This window comes from Homo sapiens, chromosome 9 (genome assembly GCF_000001405.40).
Source record: "Homo sapiens chromosome 9, GRCh38.p14 Primary Assembly".
Lineage (NCBI taxonomy): Eukaryota > Metazoa > Chordata > Mammalia > Primates > Hominidae > Homo > Homo sapiens.
Window position 1 is genome coordinate 84,944,539 of NC_000009.12, and position 26,769 is coordinate 84,971,307.

The 26,769-nt window shown below is 43.7% G+C and overlaps 1 protein-coding gene across 16 annotated transcripts in view, besides 1 other annotated feature; it reads left to right on the top strand.

Moving 5' to 3' along the window:
• Positions 1-26,769, top strand: part of NTRK2 (neurotrophic receptor tyrosine kinase 2) — a 358,533-nt gene that overhangs the window by 276,017 nt on the left and 55,747 nt on the right. For all 16 annotated transcript variants that reach the window (XM_017014751.3, XM_017014753.3, XM_047423432.1 and 13 more), the window contains 2 exons: positions 3,924-4,096; positions 10,745-10,979. In XM_017014751.3, the coding sequence (XP_016870240.1) occupies positions 3,924-4,096; positions 10,745-10,979 (408 nt within the window). The remainder of the gene's footprint in view (positions 1-3,923; positions 4,097-10,744; positions 10,980-26,769) is intronic.
• Positions 10,335-10,835: an enhancer, noted in NCBI's record as "H3K4me1 hESC enhancer chr9:87569788-87570288 (GRCh37/hg19 assembly coordinates)". NCBI's record gives its function as "activates a minimal SCP1, AML or CMV promoter by ChIP-STARR-seq in primed H9 embryonic stem cells {active_cell/tissue: H9 hESC(primed)}" and the evidence as "EXISTENCE:reporter gene assay evidence [ECO:0000049][PMID:30033119]".

A 26,769-nucleotide genomic window follows, 5' to 3' on the forward strand; every position in this document is an offset into this window, starting at 1 on the left:
CAACTCACTGAAAAAGATAGGCATGTGCCTTAGAAATAAGCTATCTCAGTGACTCAGACCATCCTCTGTAGAGACTGGATCTGTGAAAAAACATTGCAGGCCAAGGGCTGGATCTGTGTGTGCAGTATGACACTTTGGGGAGGTTGGACAGTCCTCTGGGAAGAAGTGGTAGCTCCAGCAGCACCTCTGCTCTCATATCTTGGGTTGGCCCCTGGGCCTTATTCATGCATACTTTGACCTTCTTGGATTCTTACGTGAGCAAACTGAATACAAGACTGGTTGTGGTTTCAAATTCAAATCATCAAATGTCCCTCTCTACCAAGGAAAACATCCCAACTTACACTACCTTGCATCATTATCCTTGTGTCCCTGTGGAGTAGATGATGATATTGTTATCCTCACTCTCAAAGAAGAAAACCAGGGTCAGAGAGCTCGAGGGCAGAGCCAGGATTTGAACCTGCTTCTTCTGATGCTAAGCTAGAACCCCTTCCGTTTGAGCACCACCATTGTGAGGATTTGTCATTTTACTGGAAGGGGAACACAAGTTTGGGGCCAACTCTCCAGGAGAGAGTGCATTTGGGCAGCTCCCCTCAGCCTTGGAAACAAGTCCTTTCACTTGGTTTCTTTTCCTGGTCCGTCTTTCATTTCCACTCCTCACTTTGGCCCATGTTCAACTTTTCCAGATGATCATTCACTGGTCATTCTTCCTCACATTCTTTTATCTCTACTTTCACAAACTTCGTGTATCAGGGGTTCTTTTAGTTGCCTGATACTGGATCAGGCAGCAGGTGATAAAAGGGTGAACAGGACACACTTCGACTGTCAAAGGCAGGAGTGGAGACAGGCATGTACCCAACACCATTACGCAAGTGCAAGTGTGAGAAAGGCACTGGTGTGTGTGGTTTGCTCCATGGGCCCAGGAGAAGGACCCAGCAGATAGACTTCCATCTCTTCTATCTCCTCCATCTCCTCCATACCCTCCATACCTCATCTGCTATTTTTCTACTGTGAAGTTCAGCGAGATAAGCACATCACTTCTCCCTGTGCAAGAGGGATGCAAAGGAGTTGAGTTTGGATCTAGCTAAACACTAAACTAATTAAATCTGGGTGGCACAGGGGCCATGTCAGGCCCAGTTTCTGTAGCTTCAAGGGAGCAGAGACCCAGACCCCAGGTTCCGGCCACTGTTCATTTTGTTATTTAATGAAGGAATGTGCGGTTTCTATGGCAACAGCCCCATCGAAGCTTTATGGCCCCTGAGCACTTGCTGACCCAAATTCACTCACTTTTCCAAACAGAGCTGGTGGTGCTTATAAAGACACTTCTCAGAAAACCACAGAGTAAAGTGAAAATAGTATTGATCCCGAGAGCGTGCCCTAATAAATGCCTCACCTGCTAATCTCCAGCTCAGATCTGCTCCCTGGGGAACTTCACCTGTGGCACATTCAAGGTCTCCAGGTCACGTAGGTCAGGCATGTCCCCACAGGGAGAGAAGCACCGAGGCCGTGATCTAGAAAATGACCACCAGGGACCTGGCCGTGTTCTGGACACTGGATATCATCTTTTAGTTTTGCAGTCAGTACATATCTGACAGATGACAGTGCTTTCATTCCATTCCAATACTAAATTTAAGTGAACACAGATGTTCCCATTTGCCATCTAACCTTAATGACTGACTGTAGTCTCCCTGGAGATGGGATTCACAACTCACGTGCCACTTCTGCCAGGAGAAGTATGCCTTTTCCTCAATTAGAAGCAACCACTCCCTCTCTGACCTCTCTTGCTGTCAGTGTTTAGTTCTCGTGGCCTTCATCATTCATTACACAAATAGATGTTGAATACTAGCCCTGTGCTCTGCCCAGGGCTGGCAATGCAGAAATGCATAGTTCCTGGGTCAAGAAGCTCACAGCCTGTACCAGAGATAAGCAAGTAAACATGCAATTGGAATGTACTGTGGTCTGTGATGTGATAGAGGTAAGCATGAGGTGCACCTAGCAGAGTCAACCACTCTGGCCTGCAGTGCAGAGGGGATGTGACAGCAATGAGGGGTGGTCAGGGAACACTTTTCAGAGAGGTGGCAGCTGAACTGAGTCTTGGAGGACTGCTAGATACTAGCCAGGTATATTGGTTTTCTACAGCTGCTATAACAGGTTACTGCAAATTCACCAGCTTAAACAACACAAGTGATTTATTTCAGTTCTGGTGGTCAGACACCTGAAATCAGTTTTGCTAAGCTAAAGACAAGATGTTACAGGGCTGGTTCCTTCTGGAGGTTCTAGGTTAGCATGTTTTCTTGTCATTTTCAGCTTCTAGAGGCCACCCACATTTCTTGGCTCATGGCCCCTTTCTTCATCCTCAAAGCCAGAAATGTGACATCTTTTCTCCTCTCTGATCTTCTGTCCTTATGGCTCTCTCTTTGCTTTTATTTATTTATTTGGAGACAGAGTCTCGCTCTGTCGCTCAGGCTGGATTGCAGTGGCATGATCTTGGCTCCCTGCAACCTCTGCCTCCTGGGTTCAAGTGATTCTTCTACCTCAGCCTCCCGAGTATCTGGAATTACAGGCACACACCATCAAACCTGGCTAATTTTTGTATTTTTAGTAGAGACAGTGTTTCACTATGTTTGCCAGGCTGATCTCGAACTCCTGACCTTGGGTGATCTGCCCGCCTCAGCCTCCCAAAGTACTGGGATTACAGGCATGAGCTACTGTACCCGGTCTCTCTTTGCTCTTATAAGGACCCTTGTAATGACATTGGGCCCTCCTGGATAATCCAGGATAATCTCTCCACCTCAAGATCCTTAACTTAGTTACATCTGCAAAGCTGCATTTGCCACATCAGGCAACATATTCACAGGCTCCCAGGATTAGGAAGTGAACAGCCTTGGCAAAGGTGAGGAGTTCAACCTTCCATGCCAGTGACCACACCCAATATAGCATTCCAGGCAGAGGAATGTGCACATGTGCAAAGGGAGGGAGGCATGGCCTGTTGTCATCGGGGCAGCTGCAGACAGTTCCTAACGTGGATGCATGGGTTTCGAGAGGAGTGTCAAGGGATTGAGCTGGAGAGAGATGCAGGTGCTGATTCATTCAGGACAGTGGGTTTTGAGCTTGAATTGCAGTTATTTATATACATGTCATATCTCCCTATTTGCCCATAAGTGCCTGAGGCCAGGATCTGGGTCATTGCCTTCTTGATGTCATCACAGCTCTGGCTCAGTGATGGGCACATGCCAAGAGCTCAGCACATTATTTGCATCACTAAATGCCAGCTTTGCCCTGTTATGACACCACAGTGGCAGAGTTATCTAAGCAGAGAACTAAAGGCACCAAAACCCAGCTGTCATGCTCCTGGGCATCTTCACCTTGGCAGCATGACCACTCTTCTTGCGGCTTGCTGGGCAGGGATGTTTTGTGAGCCGGCAGTGTTTGTGGGCACAGGCTGGAGAAGGCTCTGTGCAGTGCTACATAAAGACAGGCAAACTGATCGTTGCTGAAGCTGGAGATGGGTCCACAAAGGTTCACTGTACTCTTCTTTCTACTGAATCATAACATAAAGTTTTTAAATCTTATCTGAGCAGAGGTAAGCTGCACATAGCATCACAGAAAGAAAGCACAACAGGCACCAACAAGGGAAAGAAGCCCGTGGGAATTATTGGGTGCAGACCAGGGTTAGAAAGGATGTGGACCCTAAAAAGACCTCCTGTCTGTAACCTAATGAGAGAACCTCTGTGAAAGTGTGTCATAAGCTGGAAAGCTTTGCATATGCCTAAGGAGTTATTCCTCAGTTATTAGCACAAATGTTATTTCCTTAGGAACTAGGCTGTTTTCTCATCTTTTGCCTAACAAATGAGATGGATGTCTTTCCTATCTCAGTATCATAGGGCCCACTGAAGTAATCCTTCTCTTTTAACACCCATCCCCAGACCCTGAAGGATGCCAGTGACAATGCACGCAAGGACTTCCACCGTGAGGCCGAGCTCCTGACCAACCTCCAGCATGAGCACATCGTCAAGTTCTATGGCGTCTGCGTGGAGGGCGACCCCCTCATCATGGTCTTTGAGTACATGAAGCATGGGGACCTCAACAAGTTCCTCAGGTACAGTGAGGCGGGGAGGTGGGCTCCAGGAGGGAGCAGGCCTTCAGGGTTCAGGAGTGGAGGGTTCATGGGAGGGAACAAGGGACCCCTGGACCTTTCTCGAAGCATCTTATTTGATAATGACACCAGCATATGCCAGAGAAAGGAGGAGAGAAAAAAGAAGGTGACAGTCTTGTTCTTTTTCCTTAATGAATTCTATGTAATGTGATGCAAATGATCCAACTCAATTCAGTCCGCATTCACTGAACATTTGCTACATGGAGTGGTATGTGACATGGGCATTTGGGATGGGTTTTAGATGATCTGTAGGAGTTTGCTATGTGGTGTTATTAAAGGCAAAGGAAACAGGAAGAGCTAAGGTACCCAGGTGTCACAATGGAAATTGCAGTCCAGTGAGAGTGAAGTTTTCAAGTTCCCAGACTGTGGAATGAACAGTAAGGAAGGGAAGCAGAAAAACAGCTGGAGGAGTCAAGGCTGAAAGGGTGGGGCAGGTGCTTGGACTTTATCCTAAGGACAAAAAGAATAACCAGGAGGCCAGTAGTTCAGAGGATCTACAGTGGAAAGATCCAAATCCAAAGAAGAAAAGCTTCAGAAGGAAGGAGGTAAAAACATTGATTGAAGACTCCAGATTATGCGGAGACCCTGAGGTCATGAAAAGATGGACAGCTTCAACTGAGAAGTTTTGTGGGATGTGGGGTCTTCAGAAAAAGGCAAGGCAAGGAAGAGAAAATGTTGACTATAAAGGGAGTCACTGGGCTATTGATTAGGGTTAGTGTCATTTGAATTTCTAGCATTGGCCTGATTGGTTGGGATTTATTTATTTATTTATTTATTTATTTATTTATTTATTTGAGACAGAGTCTCGCTCTGTCACCCAGGCTGGAGTGCAGTTATGTGGTCTTGGCTCACTGCAACCTCCGCCTCCCAGGTTCAAGTGATTCTCCCACCTCAACCTCCCACGTAGCTGGGATAACAGGCATGTGCCACCATGTCTGGTAATTTTCATATTTTTGTAAAGACAGGGTTTTGCCATGTTGGCCAGGCTGGTCTCGAACTCCTGACCTCGAGTGATCTGCCTCCCTTAGCCTCCCAAAGTGCTGGGAAAACAGGCATGAGCCACCACACCTGGCCCTGATTGGGTTTTAGTTCAGCTGTGCCTTCTCAAGAACTCCCCTCCCTCAGATGATGGGTACAGGGAACTGGGAGGAACCACAAGATAGAGCAGGTGAGAAATGGCTGAAAGTGACTGTGATCTGGGAAGAAAGGTCAAGTTGCTTTGAAACAGTAAAGCTAACTCACACAATATAAGTGGTGACTTTTGAGGAGACCATGCTGCGTGATGATACCAGTAGGGATTTTGGCCTCCAGACACAGCTGAAGTTGAGTCTCAGTCCAGGCATTATTAGCTGAGTGACCTCAGGCAAGTCTCTTTAGCTGTTCTGATGAGAATCTTGAGCTGGCAGAGTAGGCATGAGGACTGAACTAGAATAAGTATAGAAAGCTCTTAGCGTAGGAGCGAATGGGGAACGTTCAATAAGCAGACGCTTGAATTCTGCCAGGAATGATGTCAGCTGGTAAACCAGCTGCCTCGGTAAGAGAAATCACAAGGAGAGCTGAGTTTGATAAGATGCAGGAAGTTGGTGATCACCCTGGTAGGGTCCACAGTGAGTGATCTCCTGCATCTAGCAAGGGAGGGAAGAAATGTGCTGAGCAAGATACTCCTTGGGGAAGGAAGGCAAGTGATGCTTTGGCTTCTGTGGAAGTGGCAAATACATTATCATGAACCTAAAGAGTAAGAAGTCCCAGTAGTGAGGACGGGAGATTCAGGTTCTCCTTCCTATTCTGCATCAGCTGCTGGTGTCCCTTAAAAGAGCCTCCACCCCAGTTCGCTCAATCACCTTTGTTCTCAGGTAGGCCTGCCTTGTATCCTCTCTAAGTTTTATCTGGGTCTAATATGTTTTTTTTTTTTTTAATTTAGCTAGTCCTCATTTTGGAAAGATTAGCAAATGGGCTGCTTGTGATATCTTGGTAGACAGTAATAGGAAAGTTGTTAAAGGCTGTTCACCTGCCCTTGCTGGGCACAGTTTCCTTACCTGTGAAAGGGGTATCATTTAATCCATCTCAAGGTCTAGTGTGTGCATTGTTGGACTGAGAGGTAATCAAGAAATGTTGTCCTCACAATCTTTCACAATACTTCATCTCTGCCACAATTTCCTCTTCATTTTGGTTGAGAGATCTGAAATCCTGGGGAAGTGGCACCTTTCTTGTGATGGCAACACCTAGGAGTCTCTGTCTGCCTCTCATTTCCATGGGTGCTGAAGAGGGCTTTGCACAGAAATCAGCCCCAGTAAGCTTCATGTATCTGCTGGAAGACTCAGACACTGCAGTTTAAGTAATCAGTCAATCACTGCGAGAACATACTGCTGTTTTTAGAAATGGTATCACATGGCTGGTGCCGTCTGGATCATTTTTACCCTCTTTAGCCTCATGGATCCACGTGCAATTTAATTCTTCTTTGCTGGGCTGGATCCCTGTTCTCTGCTTTTCCTATGATTGTGTGGGCGAGGAAATGCCAGGTGGAATTAGGAATATATAGCCGATTTGCAGTATTCTGAGACAATCTTGATGCATTATCCTACGTCAGCAAAATTTTTCTTGTAAGTGATAGGACAGGGGATGACTTTTGAACATTGTCTTGTCAGCTCTAACATGAAAGGAAGAAAAAAGCTGAATGTGGTTGAGGTCTGGCTGCTTCTAAGAGAAATATTTTCCCATTGTTCCCATGCCCCAGTCTACTTCCCTAATTCAAGATGGTGCTTTCGAAAATCTGTAGCATAAGAAATACAAATGTGCTCACCTGGATGCAATTAAATGCTTCCGTGAGCTCACAGTGTGTCTGTACATACATGAATGTGTGTGTGTGTGTGTTGCAACTTGACTCTTTCACTTTCTCACTCAGCCTCTCCTTCTCCCTAGCTCTCCTTCCTGCCTTGCAGAAGGAACAGGCACCTGGTTCTCCCTTGGCACCTTGCACAGGGTGTGGAGCAATTGGAAACCTAGCCTGCTTGGTTTCAGAACCTGCTAAACTCTGGGAACAAGAGGTTTGCCATGCCAAAAGTCTAGTTCTCAGGTGCACTAACATGCTGCAAATATAGGCTGTCCTCTTTCCGCAAGGGAGCTGGGCACTTAGCTGCCATGAAAAGTCCCCAGCTGTATCAGCTCTGCCCTATAAAGACAGATGTCTTCTCTTGTCTCCCTACCCTCTTTATTCATCCAGAAGCCATATATTAAGCACCAGCATGGCCAGGCTCTAAGCTAGTTAGGGTGGGAAATGAGGAATAAAACACATGTCTTTGCTTGCAAGGGTTTCATGATTTTTCCTCTTAGAATCTGTCCAGAGTTGCCGTCTAATGAGGGGAAAAATAGACTACTATTTTTCAAACTATCACAGCTAACATTTATTGAACTTTCTAAGCATTTTAATATGTTTCAGGGTATAAACCATCCTTGCCGTCATTCCTACGTTACAGTTGGGGAAACTGAATCACACAGGTAGCAGATGACAGAGCTGAGATTCAAACCTGCAGCCCCTGGCTGCAAGAACTCATGGTCTTAACCACTCTGCCATCCTCTCTGCTGAGGTGCTTGTTGAAAAGACCAGAAGGAAAGTGGTGTGCTATAGAATCCTGGAGCCAGAGCAGTTGGTGCAGTGCCGGCTGTAACCCACGCTGGAGAGAACTGGACAGCTAAGTCAGGCCCATGAACCTGCTACTTGCTTCCCAAGCCAGGGAGCTGATGGTGCTTTTTTTAATTTTGTTATTTTTTTACCTCTTAAGGAATGTCTTCCTGGAAGAGATGAAATGTGTTTTGATTTCTAAGACTTCACGAGGACCTGGGAAAGTGAAAGCAGAGGATTGCAGCGTTAACCGTTATTTCTGTTCCTCTTAAGGACTTGTGTAGCAGACCCACCTACCCACTTTTTACAGCAGTATGTTCTGCTCAGAGAAAGCATCCAGAGGCTTATTTTATTTAAAGAGCCGTGTTCAGAAAGTTGAACAGCAAATACCCAGATATAAACAGGGGAAATTACTTTAAAAATCCAGGAGTCTCCCCCAACCCACACATACTAATATAAAGTGCATTAGGCATTTGAGGGCCACCAGCTTCCTGACGTCTGCAGAGTGTGGGGTTGGAGGACAGAATTTTGTGCAGAGGTGGCCTTTTGCACTGACATCTAACTTTTCCTCTATCCTGGAGTCTTGCCTCTGAGAGATATTTAAAGTAGATCAGTTTTCTGGAACTGATATAAGGCTGTGGCCAATCAACAAATTATTTTATTATTTAAATGGTACCTATGAAGATTAAATTCTGACCGAGTCTCTGGGTCTTTATTTCAGATTTTCTTTAGTTTATGTGCACCCCAGCCCCTTCTCCTGGTGCTGAGGTCATAGTAGATTTAAGGAAGACAAGTGAAAACATTGGCAATTTCCCCTGACCCCTCAGTGCTGAAAAGGATTAGGCTTGATTCACCTTTAGTGAAGTGGAAAGGGCCCACCCTCTAGTATCCTGAAGAGCCCTGTTACAGGCCAGTTACAAAAAGTAATGCACAGAGGATAACTTGTGTTTTCACATCACCTGTCAATTTCATTTTTAAAGAGAATCTTTGTTTGCAAAGCCTTTCTCCCTGGTTTTCCTGTGAAAGGCCACGAAGCACTATGCAAGCACAGTGTCAGTCCTCCTCACATCAATGCCCTTAGCAAGGGGCAGTTAGTATCTACAATTTACAGAGTGAGGAAACAGGCCCAGAGAGGTTATGTAACTCACCCAAAATCACACAGCAAGTGTAGGACAGGATCCAAATTCATTTCACATATCCCGGAGCTTTGGCCACTGTGCCGCTTCTTACCTTGAGTAGGTGCTTTTGAGCTGAAGAAAGCCCTGGAGCATTTTCCCAGCATTGTTCCTCAATGTGACAAGAGGCAGCTGGGGGTTGTGGTTTGAGTAGAGGTGAAATATGTTAGGACTGGCTTGTACAAAAACAGGAAACTCCTCCCCAGGGAATGGTTAAATCCAGGTATTTAGAGACAGGAAGAACCTAAGAAATTACCCAGTATAATATTCCTCTGTATTTTTGACTAATGAAGAAATTGTACATGAGAGAAATTAAAGGGCTTCCCAGGATCATGGCATTGGACGCTGGTAGGCCTGGGAGACCCCCCAACTCCTGTCCAGTGTTCATTCCCTGAGATTACAGGAATGAAAGATCTGGTGACAGAATGATTCCCGAAATCAAAGGCAAAGACAGTCACTGTAGGCTGGAGCCGGGATGGAAGTGGGGATACGCCTGTGGCTTGAATAGTTGGGGGAAGGAGGGCGGAGAGGCAGGGCAAACCCTGACATGTGTTCTCAGACAATTCTGGCTTTCTCAGTTTCAAATACTCACACGGCTCTGAAACCCTGCAGGTGAGGTTACCTACTTTAACATTTATGCAGAATCCTCTATATTTATTCTAAGTGTTTCAAAACGTCTTGAGAGAGATCTTTCCTTTCCCAGAGAGAAGCCCTTGGCCACGCCAGGGCAGAGCCCGACAGCAAACCCCGCCTTTATTCCTTGCACTGCAGCGCCCCCTCAGGCCACCAGGGGCAATGACGCTCATCTTGGCTCACAGCGCAGGATGTCACAGCAGAGCCTGCCGCGCTGAGGGCGGCATCCTAAGACGCGGATCCTCCCACCCTTGCAGGACTTGCGTGTTAGGGTGCCCTAAGTCATCACATAGCTGAGGAGAGGCCAGGTGTGTAAGACAGAAGAAAAATAAGATTTAAAAAATCATAGTCCCCCTCCCCATAGTGTAAACAATAAAATTTTCCCCAGCAAAAGAATAAACAGGCTGTGGTTCAAAAGAGTTCTCCTATGTGTTGGCCATAGCCTGTGTTGAGCGGAGGTTGGAGGAGGGGTGGACAGAAGGAAATGGTATTTTGTATTGAGAATGAACATCCAGATTGAGAATGCCCTGGGACTCTGTTGTTGAACTGGGCTTGAGAGAGCCAGGCGTAGCTTCAAAACCATGCCTGGCCACAGATCAGGTGGACTATGGAAGGCCGCAGGCTGCCCAGCTCTGGTGCTGGTGGGGACACTCTGGAGGAATCAGCTTGGTTGGGGGATACTCTGGCATAGCCTGGCTAGGTGGGAAGGGGTGGGGACCCACTGGGCTGCCATGTCCATCCCACTAGGAGAGTCCATCTTTCCCCATATGTTTTGTTTTTGGTTTTGTCTTCCTTCACCTACCTGCTGCTTCTCAGGGTCAGGGGGCCCTGGTAAGTGCCTGAACCCAGCACAGTGCCAGAGCCCCTAAAATGTCAACCTGTCTGTACACTGGAGGGAAGGGGGACATTCAGGCCCACGGGGTCCTGGGAATTCCAGACTCTTTGGGAAACAGAGCAGCCTGGGTGCTCTCAGGACTGCAGAAGTACAACTGTGTGAGCACCTTTGTCTCCTCTTCATGCTAAGTCAGGCAGCATCTTTTAGCACCAGCAGCTACAGGGTGGGGGTGAGGAGCTTAGCAAGAGGGACGGGGAGGGGCAGGGGCAAAGGGCCCCTGGAGTGAAAATGCTGAGGCCCCCAGCTTCATTCTCCATGTCCTTCCCCAGGGCACACGGCCCTGATGCCGTGCTGATGGCTGAGGGCAACCCGCCCACGGAACTGACGCAGTCGCAGATGCTGCATATAGCCCAGCAGATCGCCGCGGGCATGGTCTACCTGGCGTCCCAGCACTTCGTGCACCGCGATTTGGCCACCAGGAACTGCCTGGTCGGGGAGAACTTGCTGGTGAAAATCGGGGACTTTGGGATGTCCCGGGACGTGTACAGCACTGACTACTACAGGGTGAGTAGCTGTGCAGATCAGAGACCCCAGGGACCTCTTTCCCTGCGGGACCCCTGCTGTATTTGTTTGCTGAGGCTGTCATAACAAAATATCATGACTGGGTGGCTTAAACGACAGACATGTGTTTCTCATGGCTCTGGAGGCTGGAAGTCCAAGCTCAAGGTGTGAGTGGGATTGGTTCCTCCTGAGGCCTCGCTCCTTGGCTTGCAGGTGGCTGCCTTCTCACTATGCCCTCACATTGGGATGGTGACAACCCAATCCTTCCCTTTAGGCCTAAATTTCTTCTTTTAAGGACACCAGTCAGATTGGATTGCATCCCACCCTAATGGTCTTTTTAACTTAATCACCTACTTAAAGTCTTGTCTCCAAATACAGTCACATTTTGAGGCCCTGGAGGTGAGGTTATCAACGTATAAATTTTGGGGGGACGCAGGTCAGCCCATAGCACCCACCCTGCTCTTGGCACTCCAGCGTGGTGGGTGAGATCTCCAAGAGTGAAGTCCTCAGTGTGAGAATCCTTCCAGAGAAAACTGAGGGCCTGGGGGAATTCCTGGTGAGGTTAAAGGATGCTGAGGTTTGGCTTTGATTCTGTGAAAGTATGCCTGGAGCCTTTGTTTGAGATTTGAACAAAAGTGAACTTGTTCACATAAATAATAGTACACCGGACTTTGGAAGTTCCCTCCAAGCGCCATCTTGGTTGAAAGCGGTTTAGCTTGGTGAGATGGAAGAAGTTTTATCCTGCCTGTTCCTAGACACTTCCACACAGCTTGTCTGGTGTTTCCACCACTGAAATCACTGAGAGGCAGAGTTACAGACAGTGACTCAGATCCACTGATGACCTAGAACTGGCCCCCGGGATATGTTAACTTTGTTAACTGAGATTTTGGAACTCGGACATGAGAGAAAAGGGAATTTCTGGAAATGTTGAAGTTGTGATATTTAGAGTGAAGATTCGGGGTGGTGTTCTACCACTTTGATTTTCTACCAACCCTCAATTTGATTTTCTTGTGTGTTTTGCTGTTTTTCAAGGAGAGAGGAAGGGAAAAGGAAGGAAGGGAATAAATGTGCTGGTGTCTATAGCTTAACAGCATAAAGCACAGAACTGGCTACCTTTCATAATAGGGTAGGGCTGGTGAAGATGCTGGCTTTGCTCTTCTCATTGTTATTTATTTTTGAGGAGGCACCTTCTCAGTTTATTTCCTGTTCCCCTTCCTGCAGTCTTGCTCACCTCTATGGCCTCTGCGTTTTAGTGGGGTGAACTTTGCTATAATTAGTGTAAGAAAATTAATCTATTGTCGTGCTCCATTATTCTTCATTTGACTGTTTTGTGGTGTTTTTTTTTTTTCTTGGTCACCTTGATAAGCATCATTTACATTTTGTGTGGCAAAAAGGAATAGAGACCACATGGAAAAAGATTCTCTTGGGTGTATTTGCAGGAGATGGGGGCACACTCTTAACTTCAGGTGTTCAAAATGTAGCTTAAAAGCAGTGACTAGTTTGTTCAAGATATTTAAAACGTGGGGAGACTTTACCTACCAGAGATGGTCTCCTCTGCTAGTTCTACACCTTAATGAAAGTTCTCCCTTCCTTGATGGGGGCAGGGAAACACATGGATGATTCTCCGAAGAAAAGCTTTGCTGATCTTGGTGAGCACCCAAGGGAGGGACATGTGGCCCAGGCAAAGGCTTTCTCTCTGCAGTATTAGTAAAGGGTTCAACGTGCCTGGCACAAAAAGTGAGTGCTTGTTAAGTTTTTCCACCTAATTATTACCCAAATCAATAGACATACACTTCATCTCCAAAGCTAGGACTTAACTGGATGGAACCTGGCATCCTCCTCTCTAGGAATCTCCAAAAATAATTTAAAGAAAAATACCTAAAATCTCAACAATAAAAAGATAAATCACTCAATTCGAAAGTAGGAGAAGGTTCTGAATAGACATTTCTCCAAAGACAACATCCACATGGTCAATAAGCACATGAAAAGATGGGTGACATCATTAGTCTTTAGGGAAAATGCAAAGAAAACTCACAATAAGACACCATTTCACACCCCCTGAGATGACTACAATAGCAAGTGTTAGCCAGGCTGCAGAAAAATTGAAACTCTGGTACTCTCCTGGTGGGAATGTGAAATGGTGCAGCTGCTTTGGAAAACCGTTTGGTAGTTCCTCAAAATGTTCAACATAGAGTTACCATGTAATTCAGTAATTCTACTGCTAGGCATGTACCCAAGAGAACTGAAATAATATGTTCCCACAAAAACTTGAACACAAATGTGCATGGTAGTATTACTATTAATAGCTAAAAAGTGGAAACAAGTTTATTGTCCATCAACTGATTAATGAATAAACAAAATGCGGTAATCCATACAATGGAATATTATTCAGCAGTACAAAAGAATAAAGTACTGATTCATGCTGCAACACAGATAAACCTCTAAAACAGTGTGCTAAGTGAAAGAAGTCAGACACAAAAGGCCACATACCATATGATTCCATTTATATGAAATGTCCAGAATAGGCAAATCCATAGAGACAGGAAGTAGATTAATGGTTACCGGGAGATGGGGGCAGGGAAGAATGGGAATTGACTGCTACTGCGTACAGGGTTTCTTTTGGGGGTGATGAAAATGTGCTAGAACTATATACAGTGGTGGCAATTGTACAACATTAATCATATACAAAAAAAAAACACTGAATCATTCACTTTAAAGGCTAAATATTTTGGTACCTGAATTATATCTCAAAAAAGAAAAAAAGAGCATGAAAAGGAAAATAATAGCAAAACAGTGACCATCATTATGAACATAAGAAATTAATCTCGGTCATTTATTTACACATTGTAAAAACACTGGACTTTGCCATCTACCATATTTTAACATTTGTTAAAAAGAAAATCCTCCACTTAGGTGGCAATATTCTGAAGTACTTTCTTCTGAAATGATCGGAAGAATAACGATTCCCAGTTCCTTTATTTGTTACATGATCTTGGAACTGGCTGAGTCACTAAGAAATGTGCTCCAGATGCCATGTTAATTTCACCCCCGTGGCCACTACTCGGTTGCAGTTGTAGGGTTAGTTTTTGTTTGATTTTCCCATTCAGGATGAGGGAAAAGAACCAGCCTTGCAATGGCCTCTGTTGCAGATGGGAATGGGCAAGACTGGGTAGGGAAGTGAAGGATGGATGCAAAACCTGACAATTTGCTAGCAGCCTAGGGAAACAAGGAAATGACACTTTATTTTGCCTTTCTAAAATGTCAGAATGATGGTTCACCTTTTCGTTTCATGAAAGTGAATATTTGCCATCATAGAACTGGTTCTTGGGAGATGTTTGCTTATTGACATATCGATGGGGCCCATTCTGTTGAGTTTGTCAAATGGACAAGCAGAAGCTGTTGATCTGTTTTACAGGAGAACTCCAGTGCCTCCTGCGGTGGCTAAGTCCCAGAGCACTCTTGCTTTTACATCAGTCATCCACCTATTGGGTCACTTGAAAGCTTAACCTTGAACCCATCCCCTTCACGGTGTCTCTTCAACTTCTCTATCACCATAGCTGGGGTAATGTGTTCTCCTTATGATTCAGGTTTCTCATTTGCTGGCACCTTAGTAATTTTTAAAAATTTTTTTCATTATTTTATCCCTATCCTCTTCAACACTCTGCATTGAACTCCAAGGTGAGAAGCTGCTTTAGCTGATGTGAGCTGTCGTCACCAATGTTAAAAATTCTTTCCATCGCAGTAATGGGACACAGTTGTGTGTGGGTTTTTTTTGTTTGTTTTTGGTTTTGGTTTTGTTTTCTGACCAGGGCTATCTTATGTGGAAGAATGGTGATTGGGCATGGAGTCAACTGAATTGCATAAAATGTTCCTTATCTTTAAGCAAGAACCATTCCCACTAGAAGTCCAAGCCTTCCACTCATGGTGGCTTATAAGCAGCCTTGAGGGATAGCCATGTCTCTGTGCAATTCATGGCAGGAGGGGCGGGTGGCAGCTGTTCTTTCGTTACAGGGGAGCTGGTAGCACCAGGAAATGGCTGCCTCCAGGCGTCCACCCTGTTGCAGCTGAGCTAATTATACCTTCCCAATGAAGGGAGAAATCGGAACACTACATTTGCATTGAAACCAGCCCAACATGGCGGGTCCAAAATTACTCTAGCATTTATGTTCTCTGAATTGTTTTAATTAGCAGATCTGCAGTACCAGTCTTTTGTTTTTTTGTTTCTTTCCTCCACTGGCAAAACCTGACATTTAGGAAACATCTGAACCAGATTTCAGTCACATTCTGCCTGTTGGAGACCTAGGGTCTCACTCTACTTGGTCATGCCTGTGCCGCATTGAGACCATTTAAATTTTTGTAATGTGCCCCTTGGGTGGTTTGCACTGTTTGGTTTTAACATATGCTTAAAATGTATGTGATCTGTTGATGAGTGGAGGGCCCCAAACATCTGCAATCCTAGCTGTTAAATCTTGTTCTCTCTTGGGCTTCAGCTTTATGTTGGAGTGGTAAGAAACCCTGTCCTTTAATTTATCTTCCACTTAAGAAAAGAAAAGGAAGAAGAATAAGCAAAGTGATTTATAGTAGACATTTACAGAAACAAATGAATATAACTTGGCTGAGCAAGGCCAGGGCAGAACTCTAAAGTGTTAAAGAGATGTCAGCAACAGATTCCAGGAAATCATCATTAGATGCCCACTCCCAGTTTATCAACTGGGAAGAGAAAGGAAGATGTGTGGTACCAAGACCAGCTAATATAGCAAGTGGCCAGATGAACAGATATGAATTTTAGCACCTTTCACCTTACCCTACTCACCTTAGAGGTTTCCAAGGGTTGATGAACTGGAAAATATAGTCCTGAGCCACAGAAGGGAGAAGGTTTAGTAATTTAAGAACTGGCCAAGCATGTAAGAAATAATCAAGAGTTAACCATCATTCCTTGGTCTTTAAAAAGACTGTGTTTATTTTTAAGAAATATTTTTATGTAATGTGAATATTTTGAGATAGGTAGGTGGATGGATGGATGGATAGATTGATTGACTGACTGATTGATTAATAGAAAGATAGACTCATCCCACAGATGTTTTTACCATCTTGTTTTGTCATGTACTAACACCATTCCCTCTATGAGGAGCAGCATAAGAGGAGGTTTCAGTTCCACCTCCTCCCTGACTTCCTCTTAGCAGAATAATTGCTCACAAATATGTGATTTTTCTATACTCCATACAAAGAGGCATCACAGCATACAGTACCTTGCATCAAGGAAACTGGCTCATATCTATGTCTCTCATTAATATGAGAGCTGATAGAAGATAAGTCTTACACATCTTTGTTTCTGCAGAAACTGGCACAGGGCATGGCGCATATGAGGTGGTCAGTACATGATTGTTGAACAGGACTCCCACCAGGACTCCCACTTTTTGTGTGTGCCTTTGTAGCCCTGCAGGTGAATAAATAAGGTACTCAGATTTGTATTTGGGTCTGGCTTTGAAGTTAGGAGTGTTGACTTCAAGAAGTAAAGCTAGGAATATAGGACCATCCCTATCTCAGACAACATTTTCGTTGCAGTGAAGAGCCCAGGGCTAAAACTTACTTCTATTGATTACCATAATAAGAAAATTTCCTCCTGTAAACTATGTCTAGAACCTTTGAAACCAGGCACAATATTCAATTTACAGGGCAAATCAGTTCCTTCCTAAAAGAGGGATGTCCTCTGTGTCATTAACTCTCATTTGCATGGATCATTTTCTTATTTTTCTCATCACTATATAATACTTAGACAATAATTCTTAGCTTTCACATGAACAATTATAGATCTTTCTGTTTCGGCTCTTTTGATTAAAGTGTACTTAAAACCATAAGAGTTTGTTTATTTTATGAAATCATCTTCAATTAATGCTTCTTACAACACTTAGAGCACAGTTCAGAGGAACCCGTCTGCCAGGGAGAAGTCTATTAAGTTCAGACTATTTCTGTATTAAACGGGACTTGCATAAACTGTTTCAAGGTTCTAAATTGGTTTAATTTGTATTCAGCCTCCCTAAGAACCTTTTACATATGCTTTGGAGTTGCCACAGGGTGAGCGTGAGAGTCCTCTCATTCATTCATTTTATCAGTACATGTTTATGAAACAACTACTATGTGCTAGATGCAATGGTAGATGCAAAAAGCATCTAGACTTTTTAAAGAAAGGCACCTAGGCTCTACTTTGAGGAGTTCCCAGACATTTTAATACAATGTGATAAATGCTGTAATGTAGATACAAAATGGGAACCCAAAAGAGGAAGCCTCCAGCCTGCTTTGGAAACTCAGAGTAGGGTTCTCAGGGACACAACGTTTGAGCTGGTATTTAAGATATAGACCCTAAATTGTTCCATTTGCAAGGAGGCCCTAGGCCAGGATAGAGAGGAAGACAGAAAGTAGGATATAAGGAGAGATGTCAATGTAAACATCACAGTATGTGATCCAGGAGTGGGGTCTTCTTTGCTATTCTTCTGAGGCTATCAAAATACGCTCTTGAGGCTATTATCACATTTCACAGGGGTTTTTGCCATGCCAAAGACTTTGGACTTGATCCTTTGGCAGTGTGGAGCCACTGAGAGATTCTACACTGGAAAATGACATATTAGATTGCATTCTGATATGTCATATGGTCTATGAAATAGATCCGCCAAACAGATCCCAACATCTTCACCTCTGTACTTATTTGATTTGCCTAGAGCAGGGTCTCTCACCCATCAGCTGTCAGTGGATGTGCTTCAAAAATGTGATCTTGTAATCATAAGGTAAGCAATCTCTTTCCTTGATGCAGAAATCCTCAGAGCCTTTAATCTATTGCTATGCCTTGTGATCTTTTAACAAAGGCTATAGAAACTTTTGGAAACCAGCATGGAGACACGTTATTCCAGTTCTTGGTCCCATCCTTCACCCAACTGGTGAAGAATGCTAGCAGTAGATGGGTAAATCCTTGTGTCCCCTTTTTTTTTGGTCTTCTGAGTCTCTTTTTCTTGAAATCACTAGCCCCTATACTTTATACGTAGAAGTGCTACATTCAGAAATTAGTTATGCTTCCAGGTGCACTGGGAATGACAGTAGGGAAAAGTGGACATTGCCCATTGGCTTGGATGGGGCAGAAGGACTCTGATGCCTCAAGGTCCTAAGAGGTCTCTCCTCCTCCAGTTTTGAAACAGTTGGGCCTCCGCTTTCTCGTGCCTGTGATATTCTATGCTTTTGCCTCACTCAGACCAGAGCCTCTTCTAAAAGTAAGCTGGCAACAAAGAGTTAGCTGGGGTACAGAGGGAAGAGCATCCAATTTGGAGCCTGAAGACAGATATTCAAGTCTCTGATTTCCTTTTCTACCCTTATGATCATATCAGTTAGGAATGTGTTTAGCCTAAGGAACCAATATGCTACTAAAGGTGGCTAAGCAGATAAGGGGTTGTTTTACTCAAGTGAAAGGAAGTTCAGAAGCGGGCAATTTCTGATTGGTTCAGAGGCTTTCCAGTGTCAGAGCTGTGGATTGGCACTGGAGATGTACTTGGTCTTTCCCTCCTGGCTGCAAGATGGCTGCAGCAACTCCAAACATTAAAACTGCAATCCGAGGAGGAAGGCCAGGTTGCTGCACAGAGCAGATTGTTTTTTCCTGCACACCTTTTTCCATCAGGGCATAAATCTTTCCTAGAACATCCCCTCTGCAAATACTTCTTTTTGTACCTCATTGGCCAGAGGTGGGTCAAGACTAAGGGCTGAGCTCACTCGCCAGAGATCAATGACTTGTTACCAAAGACCTAGACAAAACTGCAATTCTGTTACAGAGAAAAAGGAAGCAAATGGCTTTGGGGTCATCAAAGAAAATTATCTGTCACATTGACCTTATGCATCATGATAACATCTGTTTCTTTATTTGCAATGAGCCCCTGCCTTTAAAAGTTGAGAACTATAAATCGAAGTGATACAAAATAATTGCTTATTCTTCTGTGTTAATGCTTCTTTTTGCTCTGGCTGCTTTTAAGATTTTCTCTTTATTACTGGTCTTGGGCAATTTGATTATGATATGCCTTAGTATTGTTGTATTTATATTTATTGTGCTTGGACTCACTGGATTTCTTGGATTTGTGGGTTTATAGTTTTCATCAGTTCAGAATTTTTTGGCTATTCTTTGCTCAAATATTAATTCTGCTTTTCCCACCAACCCCCTATGGACTCCAATTTCACTTATAATAAGCCACTTGACACTGTCTCATGACTCACTGAGCTGTTTCCATGTTTTTGAATTCTGTTTTTTCTGTGTGTTTCATTTTGGATAGTTTTTGTTATTATGTCACCAAGTTCAGTAATTTTTTTTCTCCTGCAATGTCTAATTTGCCATTATTCTCATCCAGTATAGTCTCCATTTCACACTTTGCAGTTTTCATTTCTGGAAGTTCAATATGGGCCTTTTCTTATATCTACCATGTCTCTAGTTAACTTTTTAAGCATATGGAATATTGTCATAATAAATATTTCAATGTATTTGTAATTCTAACATCTGTATCTATCCTTAACCAGGTTCCGTTGATTGAGTTTTCTCCTTATTGTGGGTCATATTTTCTGCTCCTTTGCATGCTTGGTAGTTTTAAGTTGGAAGCCAGACATTGTGAATTTCACCTTGTTGGATGCTGGATGTTTTTGTATTCCTGTAAATATTTCTGAGCTTTGTTATGGAATGCATTTATATTGCATGGGAACAGTTTGATCCTTTTGTGTGTTACTGTTAAGATTTATTGGTCAAGACCACAGCAATGCTTACTTTAGGGCTTATTTCCCACTATTGAGGCAAGATCCTCCTGTGTACTCTGCCCAATGCCCCATGAATCCGGAGGTCCTCACCCTGCTTCATAGGAACCAGCTTTATTTCTCACCCTGTGTGAGCACTGGGCACTGTTTTCTCAGATCTTTTGGGAAGTTTTTCCTTCGGCCATGAATAGTATCCTCACATGCACGCACTGATCAGAACTCAGCTCGGTATTCAACGGGCATCCTCTGCAGATCTTCAGAGTTCTTTCTACGTGCAGCTCTCTCTTCTCTGGTATTCTGTCCTTTCAACGCTAGCCACTTTGATCTCCCCAGACTCTCAGCTCCATCTCCCCAACTTAGGGAGCTTGTTGGACTCTTGGGCTCCCCACTCTGTCTTTCTCAATGAATTAAGCTCACAATGTTTGTTTCTCATCTCTCAGATCACTCACTGTCCTTCATTGCCTGTTGTCTAGTATGAAAACAATTTTTTCACATATGAAGCCATTTTTTGGTTGTTACTCCATCTTGCCTAAAAGCAGAAGATGGTTATCATTTCTCTTGATAATGAATATATCATTTTGAAAATCTACCAGTGAACTGCCTACAAGCTGCAGCATGGCAAACAAGTTCTCTCATCGCTTTAAGACAGTTACTTCCTGTGAAGGTTTTTTTCCTTTTTAATTAAATAACTTACATTTACATAATACTTTTTCTACAATTAAAGTTTCCCTGCCTACACAGAATTATTACTTAAGTAGGAGAGTATTCTCCATCTCCAGTGAGTATTGAGCAAGAGGAAATTATCTTAGCCTACTTGTTACCTTTGAGAGATTCCCTGGGCTAAAAAAATGAATTGGTTCAAGAAGGCTTTGAAAAAAAATGTGTAGGCAGAATATTAGTAATGCTACCCACTTTTCACATTCTCCCACAGTCTTTGCCTATGGTTGGGGTCAAACACCTTGGATGGATGAAATGGCTGAATTAATCCAAGATAGTTTTGCAGACATAGTTCTTAACCATGCCTCTTTAATGTATAAATACCAAGTAAGATGTATTCTGTTCCCCAAGGAAAACCACACGTGTCCTGGGGAGAAGAGACGTAAATGAATCACTCTGATACTAGGCAGTGTGATACATGTTATGGAGAGCAGAGATAAACTGATTTGGGGGGAGATGTGGGATGACATCTGGAAAATTCTCTGAAAGCAACAGAATTTGAGGTGGGCCTTAAAGGATAAATAGCAGGTAGAAATGTTGTTAACCGCAAAGACTATTGCCTGTGATGGATGTTATAAATACAATTAGATGACCTGTTAACAAGTACTTTTTGGGAGGATGTAGAAGTTCTAATTTTGAACTCCACATGCCTCACAGAATGGTAGGCACTTCCTAAGTTCTTACAGATCATGACAATTGCCTAAAAGGAGCTTCCAAGAAAGATTCTATAATATTCTTCTTGTAAGTCTTTCAAAATGAAGATGCTCTTCAAAGTAGTGGGTCTTCAGGATGAAAATTACTCCTGAGTCCAAGCATGATTTGACTTCATCTTTCAACTCTCCATATCAATCTCTTAAAATTCTGTCCTCCGGTCATTTCTACCTAGTCTATATGTCTATGTATGAGAGACTAGAAAACTCCAAGATATTGTTACATCAACGTAGCATAATACTGGATACCTACAGAGACGTGAAAAACACCAGGGTTTCTCTTTCTGCAGAGCTGCAGTGGCTTTCCCTGTTGATCATCCTATTGGTGACCATAAGAACTTAGCACAGTCATGTTGCCTGAGGGATTCTGCTTACCAGGTACAACTAGTTTAAATTTGACTCCATGAAGAGAATTATCAAACATAAAATAGCTTGTGATATCCAACTAAGAGAAAACGTCTGAAATTCTTTTTATGCTGATGGAGGCATGGAAGTATGATCTTACCTAGTACTATAGAACTTCCTACTGCATGGGCTCCTAAGCTTGGTCACACATCTGAATACCCCAGAGTGTCTTTTGCGTAATGTTGATTTTTGGGCTTCACTTTACATATACTGATTCAGCATCTTGAAAGCGATGAGATTTGGGAATTTATATTCTTCACAAGCTTCTTAGCTGAGTCTGATGTCCAGCCAAGTGTAGAGCTATGTTTTTGTTTGTTTGTTTGTTTGTTTTGAAGTGGAGTCTTACTCTGCCACCCAAGCTGGAGTGTAATGGCACAATATCAGTTCACTGCAACCTCCACCTCCCGGGTTCAAGTGAGTCTCCTGCCTCAGCCTCCCGAGCAGCTGGGATTACAGGCACCTGCCACCACACTGGGCTAAATTTTTGTATTTTTAGTAGAGACGGGGTTTCACTGTGCTGGCCAGGCTGGTCTCGAACTCCTGGCCTTATGATCTGCCCCACTCAGCCTCCCAAAGTGCTGGGATTACAGGTGTAAGCCACTGCGCCCAGCCAGTGTAGAGCTATTATATAGGCACTGCTCAGGTAGACTTACAGAAAGTAGACAAGGATATAACACGGTCTCCTCTATGCTGAGATTCAAATGGTAACTTTACAAAAGGTCTTAGTTATCAAGCTTCTAAAGGAGAATAGTTGCTGTGAAAAATTCTCTCAACCATGACCCTTGACTTTCCTGAGAGAGATGGTATTACCATAATTAATGGATTTTTAGGACTTCTGATGGGAAAGACCCTCTGAATTTTAATCACTAGTGCACAGTCATATCCTACTCTCTTGAACACCAGAGCTTAGGTTCATTGAACCATGACATTTCCGAATGAACCCAAGAACTATTTCTTACGGTATCAGTTAGTAAACGAAGTGCTATTTGAGGCTCTCTTCTCTCATCCTGGGAGGTGAGCTTGACTCATTCTCTAGGTAATGTTGTCAAAGACATCATGAGGATCACAAGAGAGACAGAGCAAGCAGCAGGTGGAAAGTGATGCACCATGTTCCTGGACATGCCAACACAGAGCACACCACCGCCCCTGCCCCGCAACCCCTCTCCACAAGGAGCTGGGGCTCCCAGGCTGGTGGTCTAGGCAGACCCCTGCTGGCCTTCTCTGTCACTGCATGGTTGTGTATCTGTGTGGGTGATGACTGGTGGAGGCCCTACGCAGGAAATGCAAGAAAAGGCTTGTGGAGAGTCAAACAGCTTGTCAAGGTATCCTTGTGGGTGTCTGTATTGAAGTGTCACAGTATGAAGGCATTTTATTAGCAGCTATTTTAGAATCCGAACACTGAAATGGAACAGTTTCTTCCCTACATGGCATTTCCAGGCTGGCTTCCTCCCTCACAGCCTTACGACAGCACCAGCCTTCTCATAAGGGGGTGGAGAACATGACGCTGGGCTCCTTTGACGGCGGAGCCCAGCTATGTGGCCCACGCCCTCAGCCCTGGAGATAATTTGGTTCATTCACATGTTGGTGATGACAGAGATACTGCAGCGGAAGCTGGGGAGGATTTGAGGCTCATGCCTCGCCTTTGTGTGCAGCACAGAAATCTTCCTGGGTTTTGGAAAGGTATGGAGAGATTGATGCCCGGGGTTAAGGGCGTGGAGGGAACATCCACTCAAAGGAGAAATTGCAGGGTGAGTGATGTCCAACCTCAGTATGGCTTTTTTCTGCAGCTACCATGGGGGCTTAAGTTCTTCCCAGCTGTCTTAGGGCAAGTAGTGAATTTCTTTCTGGAAAACTCATTAGACTTCATTGTAGGAACAACGACCTTAGAAGACTCCTGTTAATGTCTTAGAGGGCTGATGTGGGGTCTTGTAAGGAAGACTGACATACCTGGCCTCCTTTTATGTCTCAGCTTGGCATGTAACCCTCTCAGCCATCTTCCAATTTACTGATGAGAAAAATAATATTCAGGGATGTGAAGTCACTTTCCTGAAGTGCCCTCCCTTATGCCTCTGGCAGACTGGCATCTGAGCTCCTGTTCTCAAACAAAAACTCCATGCTCTTCCCACTCTGAAAGCTTCTCTGTGCCCTCAGCACACCCCTGGCTCCTCTAGTCTTCTCCCTGAGAGGTGGGCAAGGGTCGCCTGGTGTATTCTCAGAGCTCTGCCCTTTGTAATCATAAAAGATCCATCTAGGACAGTGGCCCACTGTGCAGAGCAAAGTTCTAAAGCTGTGTTGGTTGCAAGAAGAAAAGGGATACTCCAAATTTCAGAACCATGGCTTTTTAGATTGGGAAGGGGCTTCAGAAGTAGTCAGTCTGTCCCTTTATTTTAAGGAGGGAATCTGGGTTTTTTGTCCAGCCTACCAGCTCTCCAGCTTTGGGTCATTCCTGAACCTGACTAATATGCCAAGGAACATAGGCAGGCAGACAGCAGACTTGGATTTATTCTCACTTTCAATATGTGTACAGTGTGTGGCTTTGAATAACTCATTTAACTTCTCAGAACCTTACTTCTCATCTTAGTAAAATGGTAAAGAAGTCGGCTCTGTCTGCTATGAGTGCTGTCATGATGCCACCATGAAAATTGTGAAGTATACATATTATTAAGTATTATTTATTCTGTTTTTGCCATTGGGGAATGGGGACAGAGCAGAGTCCTGTGGCATATACTGTGCTACACCTAGCATATTTGCAAGGATGCTCTATTGAGTAACCACATCCTTGAATCCAAAGATGGGTTCCAAAGATTGTGAATGCTGTCTTGGGTCTTTTTGGCATGGGCCCAAGATGTTGCTGTGGGGGCATATATGATACATTGACGTCACATTTTCGTTTTCTTCATGTCTCCTGAATTAATAAAACACTTCCTACAAGTGCAGCCACACTTCATGCATTGTTGGTCCACCCTCCCAGGCTAGAATGGTGTTTATGAGGTCTTTAGGAAGGTCAAAAGACTTCCCCAGATTCCTAACTGGCTGCTGTCCTGTACTCTGTTTTTTCCGTGCTATCCCTAAAGGCAACTGTAGCCACCACCACTAAAAGCATATTTTAATACTCCATGTCATGTGCTTCCTTTGTGTCTTTGGAGTTGGTCCAGAACGATCACTCGCTTACCTTTTGTCAGCCATTCTGAGTCATATGTATTTGCCTGAGCATGAAACACTTGTGTTAAAGGAAAAGTTTTGTGGCGTAAGCCACACACATTGCAGGAAAAGCTCAATTTGCATAGCTCAGGATAGGGCTCTGACCTTTAGCAGTCTGGGGAAGCCTGCCCACTCCTGCACCAAATAATGTTCTGCATGCAAAAAAATAAAATATACAGCATTACAAAAGAACAGCGTTGCATTCAGCATAGTTATAAAATGTTAAAAGGGTGACATAATAACACGTGTTTTTGTTAAAACATTAAATAATGAGATCTTTTGGCGGTCTAATAGCTATTAAAATTTCAAAGTGATGATCATAAATGATGTTTTGAGATAATCTATAACAATAATAATGTGGCATGAAAATATCTGATTTCTATGGGTGACAACTTCACAGATTCTGCCAATCCTAAGAGATGCTAAATTTTTGTTAAAAGTTCATGAAAATGAGATGCAATTCAAGTTGACAGAACCCTGTGAATTCTATCCATGGATCCCTTTAGGATCTGTGCATTACAGGTAAAGAACACTTCCTTTACAGCATTGTAAACCAGTGCACGAATGCTCATTAGACATGTATAATACAATAAAGTTCTGCTGGCTAAGAGCACTCTAGAACATTGGAAGCAGGGAGATGAGGGTAGGAGAATTGCATAAACAGCATAGTCTCTGGAGCCAGATTTTCTGGGTTCAAATTCCAGCTCCACCTCTTACTATTTTTGTGATCTTGAACAAGTGACTTAACCTCTCAACACTATTTCTTCAACTTTTAAATGGCAATAATAGGGCCGGGCATGGTGGTTCATGCCTGTAATTCCAAGGAGGGGAATTTGGAAGGCCAAGGTGGGTGGATCACCTGAGGTCAGGAGTTCGAGACCAGCCTGGTCAACATGGCAAAACCCCTTCTCTGCTAAAAATACAAAAACTAGCCAGGTGTGGTGGTGGGCGCCTGTAATCCCAGCTACTTGGGAGGCTGAGGCATGAGGAGGTTGCAGTGAACTGAGATCACACCACTGCACTCCAGCCTGGGGGACAGAGTGCAAAAAATAAAAAAATAAAAAATAAATAAAAATAATAAAAAATAAAAAATGGCAATAATAATAATAATACCTTCTTAAAGAGATGTGGTAAGGATTAAGTGCACCTTAAATAGTGCCTACCTCATAGCAGGCACTTTATATGTCAGCTGTCATTATTGTAACTATCTGTGCATACAGAAAGAGAATATCTCAGAAATAAAGAGCATCAGGGTGAGTCAGCGCTGGGCAGGGCAGTGTTAAGAGGGCATGCACGCACTGGTGTTTGGTTAGCTGTGAATTCAGCCCACATTACTCCACCTCTCAAGGATATTGCAAGGAACTTTACCCAAGAGCCTTGCTGAAATCAATATACTTCATGTCCAAGGCAATCCCCCATCCTATCCAGCAACTTCACTTACTTCTGGATGATCATTTGGTATGATTTCATCTTAAAGAACCCATACTTGCTTCTGGTCATCACTGCATTTTCTAAGTGCTTTCAAACAATGCTTAAATAGTTTATGTTAAAATCTAGCCTGGAACAAAGGTCAAGTTTAGTGATCAGTTGTTTCTGGAATCCTACTTTTTCCCTCTTGGAAATTATGTCAGTCTTTGCTCATCCCCTTCAGCATCTCCACTTTTACTTTTTTCTTGTTCCTTCTGTCTGAGTGAGTGCCACACTTACATTGTCAAAAGGAGCAGGCTGGGACAGTGTTTAGCTATGCTTGAAGACATAGATTCATTTAAAACAGTTTCCATTTAAAGAACAATTTAACCATATTTGTTACATCACTTCTAGAATTCAGGTCATTCTTCTTGATGGAACAGAAAGAATCAAAATAGGAATTATGTAGCTAATTCATTTAACAAATATTGCTGAGCATGAGCACCTTACCTGCTAGGCACTGGGCACTAGAGGGAAAAAGTGAGCAAAAATAGACACATCTTAGCCTCCTGGACCTAATG